Genomic DNA, 20699 nt, shown 5'->3' with positions numbered 1-20699 from the left:
TAAACTTTAGATTCATGTTGACAAAAACAACAAAATCCTGTTGTGATTCTGATTGGTATCAGAGAGCACAATGAACAAACTGGTAACCCCTGAATTGAATCTGGCCGGTACAGATTATTGTTGAGTCTGTGACATAATATTTGTTTTTAAAATTGGTGCTGGAATTTTTTTTTAATACAGAACTTATACATGGAGTACAAAATCCAAAAGGAACAAAAATAAGTCATCTTCCATCCATACCTTACAACCTACCCCCTTCTTCATTCCACTGGAGACATACAGAGCTGCTTTATTCTTTAATGGACAAATAGTACTCCATAGTATAGATATAGTATAATTTACCTAGCTAGCCTTTACTGGTGGACATGTAGGTTATTTACAGCATTTTGTTATCATACAATATGCTGCAATAAATATTCTTGTACTGTCATCATTCTAGACATAAGCAAATATTTCTATAGGATAAATTCCTAGATAAATTACACAGTCAAAACTTTAAAAAATCCTACTCATACAAGAGTATGTATATCTTAAAGAATAATATATTTATCATCAAATTGAAATCTAAATCTTTATCAAAATATATCTTATTTAATTTGTTACATAAGTAGTGTCTATTTTGTGTGGAATAAAGGCAAAAATAGTTTAAAATAGTTACTTAACTGCTATTAATAGTTGAAATTTATGTATCTAGAAGATGGTATACTATGTTCTTTCTGAAAATAGTGATAATACTCTTATATACCAATATGGAATCATTTCCAAGTTAAAAAAAAAAACTAGGTGTTGATTTGGCATAAAAGGACAATAGACATACTTATTTGCTAATAAATGCATAAAATTTCTGAAGAAACTGTTAACATTAGTCTCATGTGGGAAGGGGATATGGCTGAGGAACACAGAAAGGAGATTTAGCATTGTATACTCTTCTTCCTTTTTTTTTTTTTTTTTTTTTTTTTGAGACAGAGTCTCGCACTGTCACCCAGGCTGGAGTGCAATGGCAGGATCTCAGCTCGCTGCAACCTCCACCTCCCAGGTTCACACGATTCTCCTGCCTCAGCCTCCTGAGTAGCTGGGATTACAGGCACATACCACTACACCCGGCTAGTTTTTTGTATTTTTAGTAGAGATGGGGATTCACTATGTTGACCAGACTCGTCTTGAACTCCTGACCTCGTGATCCACCCCACTCGGATTCCCAGAGTGCTGGGATTACAGGCATGAGCCACCGCGCCCAGCCAGCATTGTATACTCTTCCAAAGGTACTTCTGAAGTTTGAACCACATGAATAAATTTTCTAACATAAAAAGTAAATTTATTGTTCAAAAGTTCATTATCAAGTGGCCCAAAGCTATAAAACTTATGGTTAACATATTTAGCCTCAGGAAACTTAGCTTTAGGAAAGTCAATCTGGAGAGACATGAATGAAAAATGATTGCCTGCTGAAAATTAAGCAATTATAATGGTTAACGATAATAACAGAAAAACTTCTATGGCATTTACTATGTGCCATTTGAAACTTTACCAAAACTAACTCATTTAATCCACTCAAGAATCCGTTTAGGTAGGTACTGTTGTTATTCTTTCCATTTTCCAGAAGAGGAGAAACTGAGGGTTAAGACATTCAGTAATTTGGCCAAAGTTACATAATAAGTAAGGGATGGAAATCAGATTTTTGAAGCCAGACAGTCCATCCTCAAAGTCGTGCCCTTGACCATGGCACCATATTTTCTCTATATACCAAATTGCTATGTAAAGAACAGTGGCTGTGTGGCAAAACAAACGCAATTAACTGCATGACTATTGGCAAATGAGTCAATCCCCTTAAGCCTGGGTTTTCTCATTTGTAACTGAGGAAGTTAACACCTGCTTCTCAAGTACATAAAACAGTTGGCATGGCATCTAACACCTGATAGTGTTAAATAAGTTATAGCTAAAAATACAAACCCTAAAAAAAGAAGGTTAGCTAAGAGGGTGCAGGCTAGTAAAAAGCAGAGCCACTGGCCATCTATAACTCACTTGGACAGCTAGATGTTGATAGGGATTCAGCTTAATGATAAAGCTGAAGACTGTCCTACAAAAACTGTTCAGCAATGGAAGGGCTTGGAAGCAAAAGACAATATGTTTAAAACTGTCAAGGGAGAAAAAAACACTTAAGAAAATAGCATATTCTAGTCCTTAAAATGACACAGAACATTAAATGAAAGATCACATTAAGAAAGTTTCTAAGAATCCTGGACTACATTTCTCATCAAGAACAATGATGAGCTTGGGGCAATATCATATTGGCCTCGTACTTTAAAATCGACATGTTCAAAAGCAAGATGGTGTTCATGAATCTGTTTGGGAGATCTGGAGATAGGCCACTCAATATTTTAAAAACTACTACAGGCGGCAAAATCTCATAGCTTAGCAAGTAAAAACTATGTTCTTTACTCAGGCATCACAAGGACATAAGGAAAGGGCTACTGCTGTATCTAAAGCTAATTTAATTTGGTTTGTGGTTAGTAAATCTGTTATTTTAGGCAACTGGCAAGAGAAAAATATTCCTGCCATGAGTAAAATCATGTAGAAAAGTGCTGGCAATCTTTAAAGTATTAAGGACCTAATAATCTCTACTGTTCTATATTCTATTCTGCTGACTTCAGTACAGGGCACAAGCCCTAAGATCCAGGTAGTAAATTATGAGCAGTGTAAGATAATCACTATAATAAAAAAAAGGCACATTTGCAAAGACATTTAAGAAAGAAATAATACCAATTCTACACAAATGCTTCCAGAAAATACAAGAGAAAGGACCACTTCCCAACTTATCTCATGAGGCCAACGTTATTATGATAACAAAACTATATAAGGACATTGTAAGACTAGAAAGAGCCGGGCACAGCAGCTCACGCCTGTAATCCCAGCACTTTGGGAGGCCGAGGTGGGCAGATCACTTGAAGTCAGGAGCTCGAGACCAGCCTGGCCAACATGTTGAATCCCTGCCTCTACTAAAAATACAAAAATTAGCCAGGTGTGGTGGCAGACACCTGTAATCCCAGCTACTCTGGAGGCTGAGATAGGAGAATCGCTTGAACCTAGGACAGAAGTTGCAGTGAGCCGAGATTGCGCCACTCCACTCCAGCCTGGGAGACAGAGCAAGACACCGTCTGAAAAAGAAAACAAAAAAACAAACAAACAAAAAACAAAACAAAAAAATAGAAAGAACACAGGAAGTAAAACATAAACCCAGAATGTCCCTCATGAACACAGATGTGACAATTCTTAATATCACCAAATTAAATAATATAAAATGGATAATACATCATAACTGAGTGGGACTTTTCCCAGAATATAAGTCAATGTGATTTACCATATTAACAAGACTAAGCAAGAAAAACCAGGTGGTCATCTCAACAGATGCAGAAAAAGCATTTGATAAAATACAACATCTATCATGATAAAAACTATTAAAAATTATAAATAGAAGCTTTCCTTGAAAGGAATCCTGGTAAAGGGCAACTATGAAAAACTTACAGCTAAGATCATACTTAATGATGAAAAACTGAATGTTTCCTCCCTAAGACTGGGAACAAGGTAAGAATGTCTGCTTTTGTCACTCTATTCAAGATTGAACTGTTAGTGCTAGTTCAATAAAGGGGAAAAAGAAGAAAGAAAGAAGACACATTGAAAAGGAAGAAGTAAAATTATCTCTATTCACAGATAACATGATTGTATAGAAAATCCTAAACAAAAAAAATGTTTTAAAGCTACTAGAACAAATAAATGAGTTAAGCAAGTTCACAGGTCAATATAATAAAACCAACTGACCTATGATACAAGAAACAAGGAAGCGGGCACTGAAATTAAAAACAATACCAATATAATAGCAATAAAAATATAAAATATTTAGAGAGGAATTTTATGTGTACAAAACGTGTACACTGAAAACCACTAAAATGGTTGAGAGAAAATAAAAAAGACCTAAACAAGTGGAGAGATATCAAACTATGTTCATAGACTAAGACTTGATATGATTAAGATGTAAATTCCTAATGTCAGATTGAGCTATATATTCAACACAATCCCAATCTCACTACAGATGTGCTTTTTGTAGAAACTGAAAAGCTAGTTTTAAAATGTACATAAAAATACAAAAGACCTATAAAGTCAATAGTGATCTTGAAAAGGAAAAACAACATTGGGAGGAATTACACTTTCTGATTTCAAGACTTATAATAATCTACAGTTTGTATTGGTATAAGGATAGACATAAAGACTGACAGAACAGAATACAAAGCCCAGAAACAGACCTTGCATGCATGTCCAACTGAGTTTCCACAAAGATAACAAAGTAATCAAACGGGGAAAGGCTAGACTTTTCAACAAATGGTTTTCCAACAACTGGATCTCTATAAGAAAAAAAAATGCCTCAACCCTTATCTCAACACAAAAATTAATTTTAAATGGTCCATTGACCTAATGTAAGAGCTAAAACTATAAAACTTACAGAGGAAAACATGAGAAAATCTTTGAGACTTTGTTTAAGCAAAATTTTCTTTTTTTTTTTTTCTGAGACAGAGTTTCACTCTTGTTGCCCAGGCTGGAGTGCAACGGCACAATCTCGGCTCACCCCAACCTCTGCCTCCCAGGTTCAAGCAATTCTCCTGCCTCAGCCTCCCGAGCAGCTGGGATTACAGGCAAGCACCACCATGCCCGGCTAATTTTGTATTTTTAGTAGAGATGGGGTTTCACCATGTTGGTCAGGCTGGTCTCAAACTGCCGACCTCCTGTGATTCGCCCGCCTCGGCCTCCCAAAGTGCTGGGATTACAGGCGTGAGCCACCGCACTTGGTCCTGTTTAAGCAAATTTTCTTAGAACACAAAAAGCAAGAACCACAAAAGAAAAAAAATGATAAATATAACTTCATAAAAATTTAAAACATTTGCTCTTTGAAAGATATTAAGAAAATGAAAATGCAAGCCTCAGACTAGGAAATATGTATATCTTATATTTAAGGACTTGTACCCAGAATAAACAAAAAGCTCTTATAATAAATAAGGCAAACAACCTGATTAAAAAAAATAGACAAAAGATTTGACAGACATGTCACCCAAGAAGATACATGAATAACAAATGATCATATAAAAAGATGCTCAACATAATCAGTCATTAGAAAAATGCAAAATAAAACTAGAGTGAGAGATCATTATAACTGCACTAGAATGACTAAACTCACAGAGAAGCACAAACACCAAGTCCCAAAGAGAATGCAGAGCAGTAAGACCTCATTCTTTGCTGGTGGGAAGATAAAATGGTGGAGCCACACTGGAAAACAGTTTGGCAGTTTCTTAAAAAGTTAAACGTATATTTACCAACAACCCCACAATCCCACTCCTGGGTATTTACCCAAAGGAAATGAAAACATATTCCCACACAAAAACTTGTACACAAGATGTTCACAGCAGCTTAGTTCAAAATAGTCAGGCCCTGGAAACAATCCAAATGTCCATCTACTGATTAATGGGTAAACTAATTTTGTTATATCCATTCAATGGATTAGTATTTAGCATTCAAAAGTCATAAATAACTGAAACATGTAACAACACTCACGAATCTTAAAAGCATCATGCTAAATGAAAGAAGTTGGAGACATAAAAGGTATGTTTTGTATGATTCCACTGATATGAAATTCTAGAAAAGGCAAATCAATAGTGAAGGAATGCAGATGAATGGTTGCCAGGGACTGGGGGTGGGAGAACAATATTTGACTGCACAGATGCATGAGACAACTTCTTGGAATACTGAAATATTCATATCTTGAATTTGGTAATGATTATACCACTGTATAAGTTTGGTACAACTCAGAAACCTATACTCTTATGTAAATTTTATCTTAATAAAGGTGATAAAAACAAAGGAAAAAACAAATTTCCCCTGTACATCTCCAAGTTTATTTTGTGAGAATCAAATGATATAGTTAAATTTAGCTGAAGTTGACACAGTCTGACATTAAAAGTTTTCTTCTAAGCCAAAAGAATTTGAAACATTGCTTCAAAATTTTATAGGCCTCTCAGGTATCAAGGCCCTCAGCTGTAGTTTGGTTAGTGCAAGCATCAGTTCCTTACTTAAGCAGATTTAGTAACACTAAATATAGTGTTACATCTTCCTGACAAAACTATTTGCAGCACTTTGATTTAAGGTCTCACTCTGAGTAAAACTTTTAAGAGTTAATAGGATAATTCTTTACTGCATAAAGGACCATATCTAGAATTTACAAGCAATGGCATTTATTTTCTCTTCAGAGTCTCTCTTCTGCAGGAAGTTATTTATGATATTTATGATATTGCTTTAAGACTAACAGACTACAGCTGAATCTCAGGTTTTGCTATTTTATCACACACAGATACCTTGTGACTTTCTTACTGGGGTATCACTTCCTCTTTTTGTCATTTATTCCTGTATATTTAACAATTAACATATTTAATATAACAATTTTTAAATTACATTAGGCAAGAAATATTTCACACAACAATCAAAGAAACATTGTATCTAAGTACAGGCTTTTCCCCATAATCTTAGGAAACAAGAACTGGAGAGAAACAAAAATGATAATTACTGAATGAGGGAAAAACCACATCTGTGCCTAACCTTTACAAGTCATTGTCAGGGCTTGTGGTAGGATATCATTTTTTAAAATACAGTTTCTACTTTATATACAGGTGAAAGAGAGATGCCATTTTATACCTGACAATGAGTCTTCCTAGTATTTACACCAAAAATGTAGACTCCTATGCACTGCATTTGAGATGACTGAAGCCCTGGCAGGACAAGGAATTTCAATAACTGTAGAGAACTGATTTTCAAACAACAAAAAATATCCTCCGAAATTATTTCCACTCCAATTCCTCACTTAGCTGTCAACAAAGTAAGAAAATATGGGCATTTGGATGTGGTGAAGGCTGGTTTTTTTCCTGAGGGGAAAAAAAAGTAACTTCATGTATTATGTTTAAAAGAAAATAGTTTTCCAAAAAATTAAAGAATAAGATAGAAGGAAATGAGATTAAAAAGTAAGAATTTTTTGAACCCTGGAATAACATCTGTTCCTATTCCCCTGAGGCTGCAAAACAAAAGAAAATCCCAAAATGCACTCTGCGAAAACAATTATAACGTGAGTGAATGAAGTACATTCAAAGAAGATTTGAAAAGGTTTCTCCTAACAAAAACTCTAAACCTCTTCCATTTGGAGAGAGAATTACATCTTTCATGTAGAAGCCCACTCATTCTGTAGATAGGTGATAGCCTTCAAATTGGAGATCCACATAAAACTGGTAAAATCCATTAGGTAGGAATTCATAAAATCTTGTTAAATAAGCAAGATAATTATTTCTGGTTGTATTATAATAGGACAATTCCACAGTCTGTGACATATTCTACCAGCATTGCTTTACTAATATAGATAGAAATTCCACTTGTTTATAGCAGCTTTATTCATAATTGCCAAAACTTGGAAGCAACCAAGATGCTATCCAGTAGGTGAATAGAGAAACTGTGGTACATCCAGACAATGGAATATAATTCAGTGCTAAAAGGAAATGAGCTATCAAACCATGAAGAGAGAGGGAGGAATGTGAACTGTATACGACTATGTGAAAGAAGCCAATCTGAAGCTCCACACTGTATGACTCCAACTATATGACATTCTGGAAAGGCAAAACTAGGGAAACCATAAAAAGGTTGCCAGGAGTTGAGGGGAGAAGGGGATGAACAGGCAAAGCACAGAGAAGTTTTTGGGCAGTGCAACAACTCTGTGTGATACTACAATGGTGGATACATGTCATTAAACATTTGTCCAGAAACCAAAGAATGTGCAAAACCAATATAAACTATGAACTTTGGGTGACAATGACGTGTCAGTGTAGGTTCATTGACAGTAACAAAGGTACCACTCTGGGGCTGGATGGTGATAGTGGGAGAGTGGGGTGTATAGAAGACAGTTGTGAACCTAAAACGACTCTAGAAAATGAAGTGGTTGTTGTTGTTTATTTTTTCTTAATATACTGAAACTTTAGTTGATTTTTAATGTCTGATCTTAAGTTCTCTGATTAGGGAACTTAATTCTTTACCTTTGTAAAGAAATTGCTATAATTAAATAGAATATGCAGTGGTTTTATCCTACATTTTAAAGATAAGTTAAAAAGGCAGTGATCTGAGTACAGCTGGAACATTTCTAAAACCAGTTCAGAACTTGTCTTTACACAAATTCTTATGTTTTGGGAATGAGAATCACTAGGTACAGGTAAGATGCACATCTGATAAAATGCATTTACAACTTAAAAACAGAATAGAATTTGACAGCTAGAAAAGATACATAGAAGCTGCTATGGTTGAATGTTTATGTCCCTCTAAAATTCCTATGTTGAAATTGTTACTTTCAAGGTGATGGTTTTAGGAGGCGGGATCTTTGGGAGGTGATTAGGTGATGTGAGTTGAATCCTTATGAACCAGAATTAGTGCCCCAATAAAAGAGACCCAAGAGAGACCCGTTCCCCCTGCCACTACGTGAGAACACAATGAAATGGCATGGTCTTTAAGTCAGAAAGCAGGCTCTCACCAGACACTGAATCTGGCTTCATCCTGGACTTCCCAGCCTCCAGAACTGTGAGAAATAAATTTCAGTTGTTTATAAGCCACCCAGTTCATGGTATTTTGTTAGAGCATCCAGCTCAAATGGAACTAAGAAAGAACCTATTTAGTCAAAGTCCTTTATCTTATACATAAGGAAAATAAGACTCTGGGTCACAAGGCTATTTTATGGCAGAAAGACCAGAACATTGAGATTCTGTTACTTCTTCATTATACTACTACATTTTAAGAAAACAAAATTATGGTAAATTTCTTAAAATTCAGAGGCGCTGTTTTTTTCTTCTTCTGTGTATTTATTTCTTCAGAGGACATGCATCCAATTAGTATATTTCTTTGGCTGATAAGCGCTGATCAAGCTCTGCCCATTTACTCATTTATTCTGCATGCTTGAATTTTTTCCCAAAGGTCATTAAAAAAAATTATGTTTTAAGCATTCTTAAACAGCCTAAGAAAACATTTTACCCTGAAAGTGAATACAGAATACATGTGCTTATTACTAAAGCAAAGACTATGCTTACCAACCCACCATTGTTAGTGAGAATTTAGAATCTTGGCTGACCTCTTACAGAGGTAAAAATCCACCCTTGGTGGGAACAGCTGCGACTGTGAAAGAAGCTACAAATAACATGCTGGGAATTCAGCAGGCACTGTTATTATATCCTGTTTATACTGTCATTTTTCCTATCAGTAGGATATTATTTATACAGACCCCACCCATGAACTTCTTGTTTATCTTATAATAGAAATCCTCTGAATCTATAAAAAGAAACCTCTGTATTTGTTTCTGGAACAAGCACATGTGTTATAATTTTGCACCTCATTACACTTTTTATTTAGCATTTTCTTTTGTTATGCACCACTCGTTCTCATTTTTATCTCAAGGTTGACTTATTTCACATATTAGAGTTGAACTTAAATCTTTTTAAGAGAACTTGTTGTAAGATTCAGGAGAACCACATCCTAAACCTTAAGGTAGATTTCATCAGGTACATATTCTTTGAAGATACACTTGACTAATTTGTTTAAAGACAGAAAAATGCGTATATACACTGATGAGGTACTGCAGGGAGTGAGCTCTAGGTGACCAGAAGGCTTCCATACTCAGACTCACTCTAACCTAAGTTAGACCAATTACGAGGACAAGGCTTTATTCAGTTCTACTACCTCACTATTCTCTAGCTGGATCTCTTCTCTGCAAAGAGAAGCCTTGCCCCTGAGTTTAGCTTGATGGCTGGGCAGTCTGGGTAAAAAATGTAACACAATAATACACAAAAAACATAGGAGTTCAGTAAGTTGACCAACAGGACAATGAACCAATATGGTTATCAATCATCCTCATTCCCCAGGCCTGATATAAACAACTGAAGTAGATAAAGGAAAAATGCAAGCTCCTTAAGGGCAAAAATTCACACAGCATTTGTTGAGCAAATGAATTATTATTTTTGGAGAGGGCACACCACTGAAGAAAGTCACACTGGACAAATTTTCACATGTATAGCTTGTGTCAGCATCACCTGTTCTCCTCTTACACTACAAGGTAGCTAGGTAAACATGGAAAGTTCAGAGTACCTGCACAATGCTAGACTCTTTGTGTAAGGAAAGGTCACTCCTGAAGAACATTGCTCTAAAATGCATAATTAAAATGAGTACTACACCTCAGGGTGATGAACTAAGTGTAATTAATTTCAGAAAAAAAGAGAGGTCTGCAAGGACTAAATTGGTCAAGAAGTTAAAATGAGGGTAACAACAGAGATAATCTTGATAAACAGAAATTCATAAGGCTGAGATGAGGAGGTGAAAGGTATCTTTGGCACAACCAAAACTCTGGGAGCATCCAACTGGGCAGAATTCTGGGAATGGCAAATAGTGAAATTCAGCTGGGGGCATACTGAATAGAGGATGGCAACAAACGAAAAGGCTGGAGTCAGATTAAAAGAAATTTCATTTTTTAGACAATGGAGAATCATCAGAAGATATCTGATCAAAGGAAGATGAATGCAAGCTTTTGGAGTAGAAATGAAGAGGAGGAAGAACAAGTTAGGGTGAGGCTGAAAATGGTGAAAGAAGTTTGTAACAATACCAAATCCCATAGATATGGCAGCAAAAGAAAGGTCCACGTGGTACAATAGATAATAAATGTGTAAATGTATTTTCAGTTCTTGCTTGCGAAAACAGGAGATGATAGCCGGGTGCGGTGGCTCACACCTGTAATCCCAGGAGATCAAGACCAGCCTGAGCAACATGGTGAAACCTCATCTCTACACAAAGTAGAAGATAGGCTGGGCACAGTGGCTCATGCCTGTAATCGCAGCACTTTGGGAGGCCGAAGCGGGTGGATCACCTGAGCTCAGGAGTTCGACACCAGCCTGGCCGATATGGTGAAACCCCGCCTACCACAAACACAAAAATTAGCTGGGCGTGGTGGCAAGTGCCTGTAATCCCAGGTACTTGGGAGGCTGAGGCAGGAGAATCGCTTGAACCCAGGAGGCGGAGGTTGCAGTGAGCTGAGATCGCACCATTGCACTCTAGCTTGGGCGACAGAGCAAGACTCCAACTCAAAAAAAAAAAAAGTAAAAAATAAATATTAGCCGGGTGTGGTGGTGCACAACTGTAGTCCCAGCTACTCAGGAGGCTGATATAGGAAGATCACTTGAGCCTAGGAGGTGGACGCTGCAATGAGCCATGATCACTGGCCACTGCACTCCAGCCTCGGGAACAGAGCAAGAAACTGTCTCAAACAAACAAACAAACAAAAAAGTAAAAACAAAACAAAAATAAAAACGGGATGGCATCATCATGACCATTACTGAGTGAGGTAATGCCAATCCACTGAAGTTAAAGTCAGTAAAGTTTACCAGTCTCCTAGAATAGCATTTCTCAAACAGAAATCACCTGGGCTTCTGGTTAAAATGTAAATTATGTTTCAGCACATTTAGAGCAGTATTCAGTATTTTTTGTTTTTGTTTTTGAGACAGAGTCTCGCTCTGTCGCCCAGGCTGGAGTGCAGTGGCGCGATCTCGGCTCACTGCAAGCTCCGCTTCCCAGGTTCACGCCATTCTCCCACCTCAGCCTCCCGAGTAGCTGGGACTACAGGCGCCCGCCACCACGCCTGGCTTTTTGTGTTTTTAGTAGAGACAGAGTTTCACCGTGTTAGCCAGGATGGTCTTGATCTCCTGACCTCGTGATCTGCCTGCCTCGGCCTCCCAAAGTGCTGGGATTACAGGTGTGAGCCACCACGCCCGGCCAGTATTCAGTATTTTTACGATTCTAGCAAGCTCCCAGGTGATGCCAATAATGCTGTTCCATGTACTATATTTTGAACAGCAAGATGGGAAAACATATCTTTCAGTTTCCCTTTCCAAAAAAGGCAATACTATATTTAATGTATCATGTTTAACCCATTATGGTTTATTCCATGCCTTTAGATATGCTCAAGAAATGCTTTTTAAACATATGTTACTATGATTTGCATTAATTAAGATTGGATGGGTTTCAAAGCTACTATTTTAAAAGTCCTAAATGATTCAAGATTCAGGGAATTCAAAGTACTAAGAAATGCTTCTACCTGAAAAAAAAAAATCAGCGTTGCAATGCTATTCTGTAACACTAAAATTTTGTCTTTTTAGTTTTAGGCTGGCAAACTGGAAGATACTATTGCTTCTAGTAATGGAGGCTGAAATGTAAGTACTGAAAGACAACATTTCATCTTTTCAAAGTCCACATCAGTGAGTTTCACTAAAACCTGCTTGACTTGTCCTTACATTGCATTAAGAACCATAACTTGGTCCTTGAAGATAAAGGTTAACAACATATTTTAAATATCCTACAGAAAAACACCTAAATACTACAACAATTAAACTAACGCACTGTCCTTTGGTATAAGACTTCTACACCGAAGGACACCTTTAACTAAAGTATTTTACCATAAGCAGAAGTGTCATTTATAAAAATATATTACTAGTGTAATATATTAAACACACACACTATAAAAGATTGGCTGACCTTAGATACTTGGGATGAAATATAAGACTTCTAAACTCTGGTGTTTCATTTTTAACCAAATTAATGGCCAGTAACAACCTTTTAGGTAAATTAGCTTCAGTATGTATCATGGTCTGGAGAACAGAAATAATATCTTTAAATCATAAGTTATTGTTGAAGATCAGATCCAAGTATTTCATTGTAGCAGGAAGAAAACTGAGGCACAGAGGCTAAAAAGCCCAAATTCACATAGCCAGCTAGTAGAATGTTAACAAAAGGAGGGGAGAATTAATTTTTATATCTATCAATATGCAAAGTACAACAATGTTGCAACTACAAAATGTAGTTGAAAAGAGTGTCCGGTTCTTCTAACGACTAATGCCCAGTTACTTTTTTTAAGGGTCTTATAAATCACTGAAATCTAAGAAAGGAAGATCACACATTAACAAGGAAAAGACATCTGCCCCCAAATTTAAGAACGTCATTAAAAAATGCAATCTGAATAGAGAATGACACATATACACCACATACTAGGGATGGGGCTTAGGTGGGGGTGGAGAATGGGATGGGATATAAAGAACAAAGAGAAGACAATGGTGACTCTTCTCAGTAATGTTTCAAGGAATGCTTTTACATATGGAAAAGTGGTTTAAAAAACAACTTTCTTTACCCTCATGAATCATTTTTTAACTGGTATAATCAGGGATTATACTTGGAGGATTACAAAGCTTTTAAAAATATGTAGTATAGAAAGCAGTTGGATGTGCATGTGTCATATGCTCTGTCACAATCAAAAGCAAACTATAGGAACCTTTTCTAGCCACAAAATAGGGAATTTTGTGCTTATTAAAAATGCTATAAAATTTACTAGCACAAGTCAAAAAAATCACTAGAGAAGTTCGGCGATATTGGAGACAATGGGTTTTAAATCACAGGCATACATAATTATGCCTAAGTTGACAGATCTGCACTGCAATGCAGAAATGCAAGCAATATTCCAACATCTGCACCAGAAGGCAGAGACTACACATGATTCCAGAATAAAGGGCTCTTCAGCTCTTACCTGTTACCTGTGCAACAACTGCTTGGGAAATCCTCCGATTGGCAAGAAAGGCTTTGATTTCCTCTTTTATCACACTGCTGTCCCTCCTAACAAAAACAGAAGACAAGACCAACAATGTATGTTGAAGGTAGAAATCCTCATCTTTGCTAAAAGAAAGGTGAAGCAGAGAGGTGGGGAGAACACAGAAAGGACACAAAAATAAAGGGTAAACAGACCAAACTTGTGTGAAAATATGAAATTACAATGAACCAAGAAACACCAAATATTCAAGTCCTAAAACATCACACCATCAAACAGACGCTTTAGTGAAGACCACAATAGATATGTCTCATACCAGAGGATGGTTAATCACATGCTCTGTATAATTCACATTAGGAACAAGGCTGTCATATGGTATATACAAAGTTTCATTACTGGGGAATGAATATATCTTACACAGACAGAAATCCTAGAAAAATAAAGAGCAACAACAACAAATTCAGTTGTGAGCAGATTGTGGGCTCGCATGTTAACTACACAACTGCATGAATAATGTTCATTTAAAAACCTTTAAAATGATTAAGGAAAAAGCAATCATCATTCTCACAACCGTAAAAATGTTAGCCATTTGAAGAAAGGCTTGCTCTTTAACTTCTTTTCCTGTATAAACAAAAAATTTAAAGTGGGATCCGTTGAATATAAAGTTTTAGTACTAAAAAGGCATTTATACATTTTGTATTATATATAAGAATACTTAAAACTACATAATATTCTGTGTTCATGGGAATACATTATAGACCTCATTTTTCCTCCACTAAAATGCCTGTTACAAATTTTTACTTAGACTCAACAAATTCTCAAAAGACCAGACATTCACAAAAATGACAATGAGTGGCAAGACTTCTGTTTTTCCACCAGAACAAGAATAAACAAAAATTATAGTTAAACTCTTAAAACCGACCAATCTCTCTTTCAATGCTTTATTTTCAAAAGGATTACATAAACAGAGCAGTGGTTTCTGTTCAAGCTCAAAAGTAACATAGAATAGAGGTAACTTCTTATCTAACACAGGGGTCAGCAAATTACCGCCTATGGGCTAATTCTAGCCTGCCACCTATTTTTATACAACCTATGAGCTAAGGATCATTTTCACAGATGGACATTTGCAATCAATTTGACGACAGAAAATGCTAACGATAAACACATACTAAGCAAAATATTATCCCTCCCCCTGCAATTTCATTCTTCTGACTAGCAGGCCTGTATTTTTAAAAACTGTACCCAATTATTATTATTCTGTATTGACTTTTGTCAATAAAAATTTGTGGCTGTTTGTTTTCTGTCTTGTATATATCTCTACATTACATCCTCTTTTTTTTTTTTTTTTTTTTGAGACGGAGTCTCACTCTGTTGCTCGGGCTGGAGTGCAGTGGCGCAATCTCGGCTCACTGCAAGCTCCACCTACCGGGCGCAAGCAATTCTCCTGCTTCAGCCACCTGAGTAGCTGAGGTTACAGGCATGCAGCACCACACCCGGCTAATTTTTGCATTTTTAGTAGAGTCGGGGTTTCACCATGTTGGTTGGCCGGGCTGGTCTCGAACTCCTAACCTCAAGTGATCCTCCTGCCTTGGCCTCCCAAAGTGCTGGGAATACAGGCGTGAGCAGTAGCGCCCAGCCTACGTCTCTTCATTATATCCTTAAATTTGCCTCTTGGCCACAAAGTCTAAAATTTTTACTATCTAGTCCTTTAGAGAAGAAGTTTGCTGACCCCTGATCTGAGACAAAGGATCACAAAACCTTAACAATTGTTTTGTGAAAGAAGCACAAACTCTTTCTAGGGGTTCACATCTCTCTGTAGACTATTTGGAGAAACTGAAGTATCCTATTCAAAAACAATGAGTTGTGATTTAACTTGGATGAGGGATTTTAGCTCCCTGATGAGCAGTTGTTACATGCTCTGTTGAAAGGACTCTGTTGTAAGACCATGCTCCCTTTGGGGAATTCTGGAAAAAAACAGAGAGGTCATAGTGGTGAGTTTCCAATCTGTAGCTCTACAGTATACTGCTGATCTATCAGTTGGAAATCCTGATCAAAAATATTCCTAAAGGAAAAAATTAATCAGCTGCCTAATGCAGTAAAATTTCTCATACTGATCTAGATTCTGGTTAGATTCTTCCCAAAATGACTGTCTATATTTGAAATATTTCTTTCTTTCTTTCTTTTTTTTTTTTTTGGAGACAGAGTCTCGCTCAGTCGCCCAGGCTGGAGTGCAGTAGCGCGATACTGGCTCACTGCAAGCTCCGCCTCCCGGGTTCACGTCATTCTCCTGCCTCAGCCTCCCGAGTAGCTGGGACTACAGGCGCCCGCCATTACGCCCGGCTAATTTTTTTTTTGTATTTTTAGTAGACACGGGGTTTCACCGTGTTAGCCAGGATGGTCTTGATCTCCTGACCTCGTGATCCACCCATCTCAGACTCCCAAAGTGCTGGGATTACAGGCGTGAGCCACCGCGCCCGGCCTGAAATATTTCTTTGACAAATATGCATTCACATTTTATTTAAAAATTGTGTATATGAAAAAGAAAAAGGTACAAATAAATATATTTTAAAGTCAAACAAAATAACTGCTGACTAAAATGCAGGTAATGTAGAACAAAAGCTTTCAAATATGCATCAATAATCAGTGTACAAGAGATAACTTCAGCACTATTTCAATTGGCTTATATAAATAAAACAAATCATTTGGTTTCTAATATAACTATAAAATTAATCTGAAACTTTTTAAATAAAGTATTGCATTTCTATATATAGAATGACCTACGAAAATGAAGCTGAATTTAAGAGAATATTTATTCAGGTTAAATAAAAGAATGTACTTTTGTGGGGGAAAAGAATTAAATGGGTTTTTTGACTACTAATTTACATTGTCATTTAAATCCATTTATTTTAAATTAAATTCATCTGGACACTAAATCATACAGAAGAGATAACACTCAATTATTGAAATAGGAAATATCCAGTTTGTAAATTATTCACAGCCTTGCAGCACGATATTATTAAGGACTGCACAAAACAGAAGGAATCCCAAAAATCTGTCAAACAGTAGCAATTCACATTTTTAGATATTTGACAAGTCTCTAAGTACCAATAATGTTTAAAAACATAGAAATAGCCAGGCACGGTGGGTCACGCCTGTAATCCCAGGACTTTGGGAGGCTGAGGCGGGCGGATCACTTGAGGTCAGGAGTTCAAGTTCAGCCTGGCCAACATGATGAGACCTCGTCTCTACCAAAAATATTTTAAAAATAGCTGGGTGTGGTGGCATGCCCCTGTAATCCCAGCTACTCAGGAGGCTGAGGCAGGAGAATCGCTTGAACCCCAGAGGCGGAGGTTGCAGTGAGCCGAAAACGTGCCACTGCACTCCAACCTGGGTGACAAAGTGAGACTCCATCTCAAAAAAAAAAAAAAAGAAAAAAAAGAAAAGAAAAGAAATAAAAAGCTCTTCACTGTTTTACCAGAGAGCTTTATCAAAAAGCAAAACAAAAGACTTAAAAGATAAGGTTGTGCATTGGCAAGTCATTTAACAAAGCTGGGCCCTGGCTGTATCATCTGATAAAATAAAAGCACTGGCCAGGTGCAGTGGCTCACTCCTGTAATCCCAGTTACTTGGGAGGCTGAGACAGGAAAATTGCTTGAAACCAGAAGGCGGATGCTGCAGTGAGCCAAGATTGCGCCACTGGGCAACAGAGTGAGACTCCATCTAACAACAACAACAACAACAAAAAGCATCAATACTCCCTTCACAAGGCTTTTAAAATTTGTCTCCTAGCAATGAAATTAAATATTGTTTGTATATATATGTCTGTAATACATAGAATCAAAAATTCATTGCAAAATTTTTTTTTAAATTGTAAAAATACTAAACATTGACTATTATTTTATGAAACTTCAGAAAGGTTCCCAAGAAAGGAAGAAACAAACGATCTGCTGTAATCATATAAGACCAAAGTAAACATCTGTACCAGGTACTTTAAGGTAGCATTAAAAGAGTTCTATAGGCAAGCAGTGATGTGTCATTTAGTTGGTTTCACTAGGTATTTTCAAAATACTAAATGCATTCTATTTTCATTGTGTCCAATTCTCTTAAGTATTTTTAAAAGTTCCATTCTAGTGGGTTAGCTTTGTTGTTCAAACTTTGACATCACCCCCGACCCTCATTCTCTCCTCATTCAGCCTTCTTTAAGGACCTGCTACTCCTATTGTCCTCATTGTAATCTATGAAATCACCACTTTGGTAGTGTGAAAACTTCATTTACTCTAAATCTAATTCTCTCATCTTCTCCCACCCCTCACTTCCTCTCTTCATCTGCAATTTTACATCCTCCTTAAAAAGAATAAATCCCCTCCTTCCTCTCTTCTCTTACAAAATCTCACACTCTTCAAGATTTCTATGCCTCAAATCTTAGGGAATTAAAGTGAAGAGCGGGCTGATCTTGTCTTTGATTCCACAGCTTACTTACTTCAAGATAAGATACCCACCTGATTTGCAACTAACCAGTTCAAGTCCATGTCATTGCCTCCTACTCCCTTTTTCAAGTCATTGCCATGCTAGATTCATCTGGGTGATTTCCACACCAGGATGAAATTCTTCCTTCCCACCCTCCATTGCCATTATTTTTATAACTTGCTAAACTTTCACTGTTACTTACAGACCTTTCTTAATATCTGGATGAATTCATCAGTTATGCCTGTTGGTTGAATCCCCTTTTACTAAGACACAATTTAACTGTCATCTATTCAAAGACGTTCTCCCTGATCTTCAAAGCTAAAAAAGGTCTCTTCTTGCAATGGCTAACTTTAACATTTCAATACTACTACTCGCATGCTAATATATTACATGCTGTTCTGTATTATAGTTGTTCCTAATCTTGTCTCATCTCTCCTACTACCCTGTAAAGTCCTTAGTCCTTCAGCACAAAGATGGTGCCTTATTCAATTATGGGGTTTGCATATAATAGAGCTTAATTTGTTCAATGAAGGAACAGTTCTGTAGTTGGAGATAAAAGGTTGTAAAATGGAAAGCCTGATCTAGATAATTTATAAAACAGCTTTAAATTTTTATTCTTAAATAGATTTAAGCTTACCAAATCAGAAAGGAAAAGAATTATTTATAGTAGCTCGAAATGACATTGCTTCCTTTTCTAGAACAAAGAATAATAAAGACCACCTGTTTTAAAAATGATATGCTTTAAGATCTTCCATATTTTCATAGTTAATATACACTGCACATTCTTTAGGATCTCTTAAAGGTAATCATCTATCTGACAGACTTTCAGAGATGAAGCAACACCTGCCAGGACAGACTATTTCACACTTGGAAAAATACAATGATGTACAAATTTCTTTCATGTTTGAATAAAACCTATTCCCATACATTTTCACCTATGGAGACAAAGTATAACTTTAAATTTTAAAAAATCACTCAAAAATAAAAGTTACTAAATATGTATCAATAACATAGTAACTGGAGATCATGACCATTTTGTCTTATCTACAGAACATGCACATCCTACTTAGGCAAGTAAAATACTTAGCCTATAGATAATCAACTTAGAATAAAGCCTCAGTTTTATACAAAATACTAACATATCATAAAATTTAGTACATGGGTTGTTAAGAATAATATCCTTAATGTATGGCATTATTAATAAATTCTGATAAGCCTCATTTAAATTATTTCATAATATGTACATGAAACACACATTAGTATCTATATGCTATATTAGCAGATATGTATACACACATACCCCTACACATATATTTATATATTAATAGATGCATTTTTAAACATTAAAACGTAAAACAGGTCTTTATTTTTGGCTTTAAAGTCCTTCCTAAAATGTTATATTCAACAATCTGTTAAATTCATATCGTAATTTACCTTTTTTTCCCAACCCTAACTCAAAAATGAAAAAAGTGAAAGTTACTTTTTCATTGTTTCTTAATGAGTCGATAAGGTGTACAATTACAACTTGATGAAGTTCTACAAAAAAATCTCCATTATGAGCTGGGCACAGTGGCTCATGCCTGTAATCCCAGCACTTTGGGAGGCCAAGGTGGGCGGATCACTTGAGGCCAGGAGTTTGAGACCAGCCTGGTCAACATGGTAAAATCCCGTCTCTACTAAAAATACAAAAATTAGCTGGGGGTGGTGGTGCACGCTGTAATCCCAGCTACGAGGGAGACTGAGACATGAGAATCGCTTTAACCCGGGAGGCGAAGGTTGCAGTGAGCCAAGATTGCACCACTGTACTCCAGCCTGGGTGACAGAGCGAGACTGTCTCAAAAAAAAAAAAAAAAAAAAAAAAAAAAAAACTCCATTATGTATCTCGAAATTATTAGGAGTGAAGTTCGTGAAGTCAACGAATTATAAGATTTTTAAAACTACATCTTGTGTATGAGTTGAGGAATGTGAACAAGCAAGAGGTGAAGCACACAGGTAGAAAAGGAGACAGGAAAGCATTCAGATACCCAGGCTCCCCCACCAGAGACTACCACTTCCAACGGGCTATCATATCACCATAGCATCTAGTGATCAGCAAGGGCAGTATATTCCTAAAAGGGCACAGAATACTCAGAAAGATCCACTGCTCAAAATATTTCTCTAACATTCCACTAAATAAAAATTCATGTGGTAAGTGATTGTTTTGAAGCAGCAAATATCATGGGGGAGGGGGATGTGAAGCCCATTAAGGCAATTCATACTTTGTCTTATGTTAATTAACCACCTTTCCTAAAATCTTATTAAAATCTACAGATATGAAAAATTTATTTGGAGAGGGAATGTACACCAGTGACATATTGATAATAAAGACATAATTTAGGCTCTGCCACTTAATATTGAAGTTCTCTTGGGCAAAGTATTTAATTTTTGTGAATTTCAGTTTCTCTGATCAACCTCACATCATGGTTTTAATGATTATAAGTGACAATGTGATCCAATAAACTTTCCCACTGATCCAAGGATTGTTATTATCTACAACCTGAGA

General features: G+C 36.5%; 1 protein-coding gene across 35 annotated transcripts in view, besides 2 other annotated features; it reads right to left on the bottom strand.

The window, feature by feature from the left end:
* The window catches only part of HMBOX1 (homeobox containing 1), a 163155-nt gene that overhangs the window by 59442 nt on the left and 83014 nt on the right, over positions 1-20699 (bottom strand). For 34 of the 35 annotated variants that reach the window (NR_136758.2, XR_001745595.2, XM_047422223.1 and 31 more), the window contains one exon: positions 13673-13758. The exons of the other annotated variant lie outside the window; for it this stretch is intronic. Coding sequence is in view for 32 of the 34 variants with exons in the window: in XM_047422223.1 (XP_047278179.1) it covers positions 13673-13758 (86 nt within the window). In the remaining 2 variants the exon portion in view is untranslated. The remainder of the gene's footprint in view (positions 1-13672; positions 13759-20699) is intronic. 35 annotated transcript variants of the gene reach the window in all.
* Positions 6057-6146: an enhancer, noted in NCBI's record as "active region_27177". NCBI's record gives its function as "activates an Ori minimal core promoter by ATAC-STARR-seq in GM12878 lymphoblastoid cells {active_cell/tissue: GM12878}" and the evidence as "EXISTENCE:reporter gene assay evidence [ECO:0000049][PMID:35858748]".
* Positions 15598-16526: an enhancer, noted in NCBI's record as "NANOG-H3K4me1 hESC enhancer chr8:28834820-28835748 (GRCh37/hg19 assembly coordinates)". NCBI's record gives its function as "activates a minimal SCP1, AML or CMV promoter by ChIP-STARR-seq in naive H9 embryonic stem cells {active_cell/tissue: H9 hESC(naive)}" and the evidence as "EXISTENCE:reporter gene assay evidence [ECO:0000049][PMID:30033119]".

The sequence above is a fragment of the Homo sapiens genome, chromosome 8 (genome assembly GCF_000001405.40).
Source record: "Homo sapiens chromosome 8, GRCh38.p14 Primary Assembly".
Taxonomy (NCBI): Eukaryota; Metazoa; Chordata; class Mammalia; order Primates; family Hominidae; genus Homo; species Homo sapiens.
The sequence above is the reverse complement of the archived record's forward strand: the minus strand, read 5'-3'. Positions and strand labels throughout refer to the sequence as shown.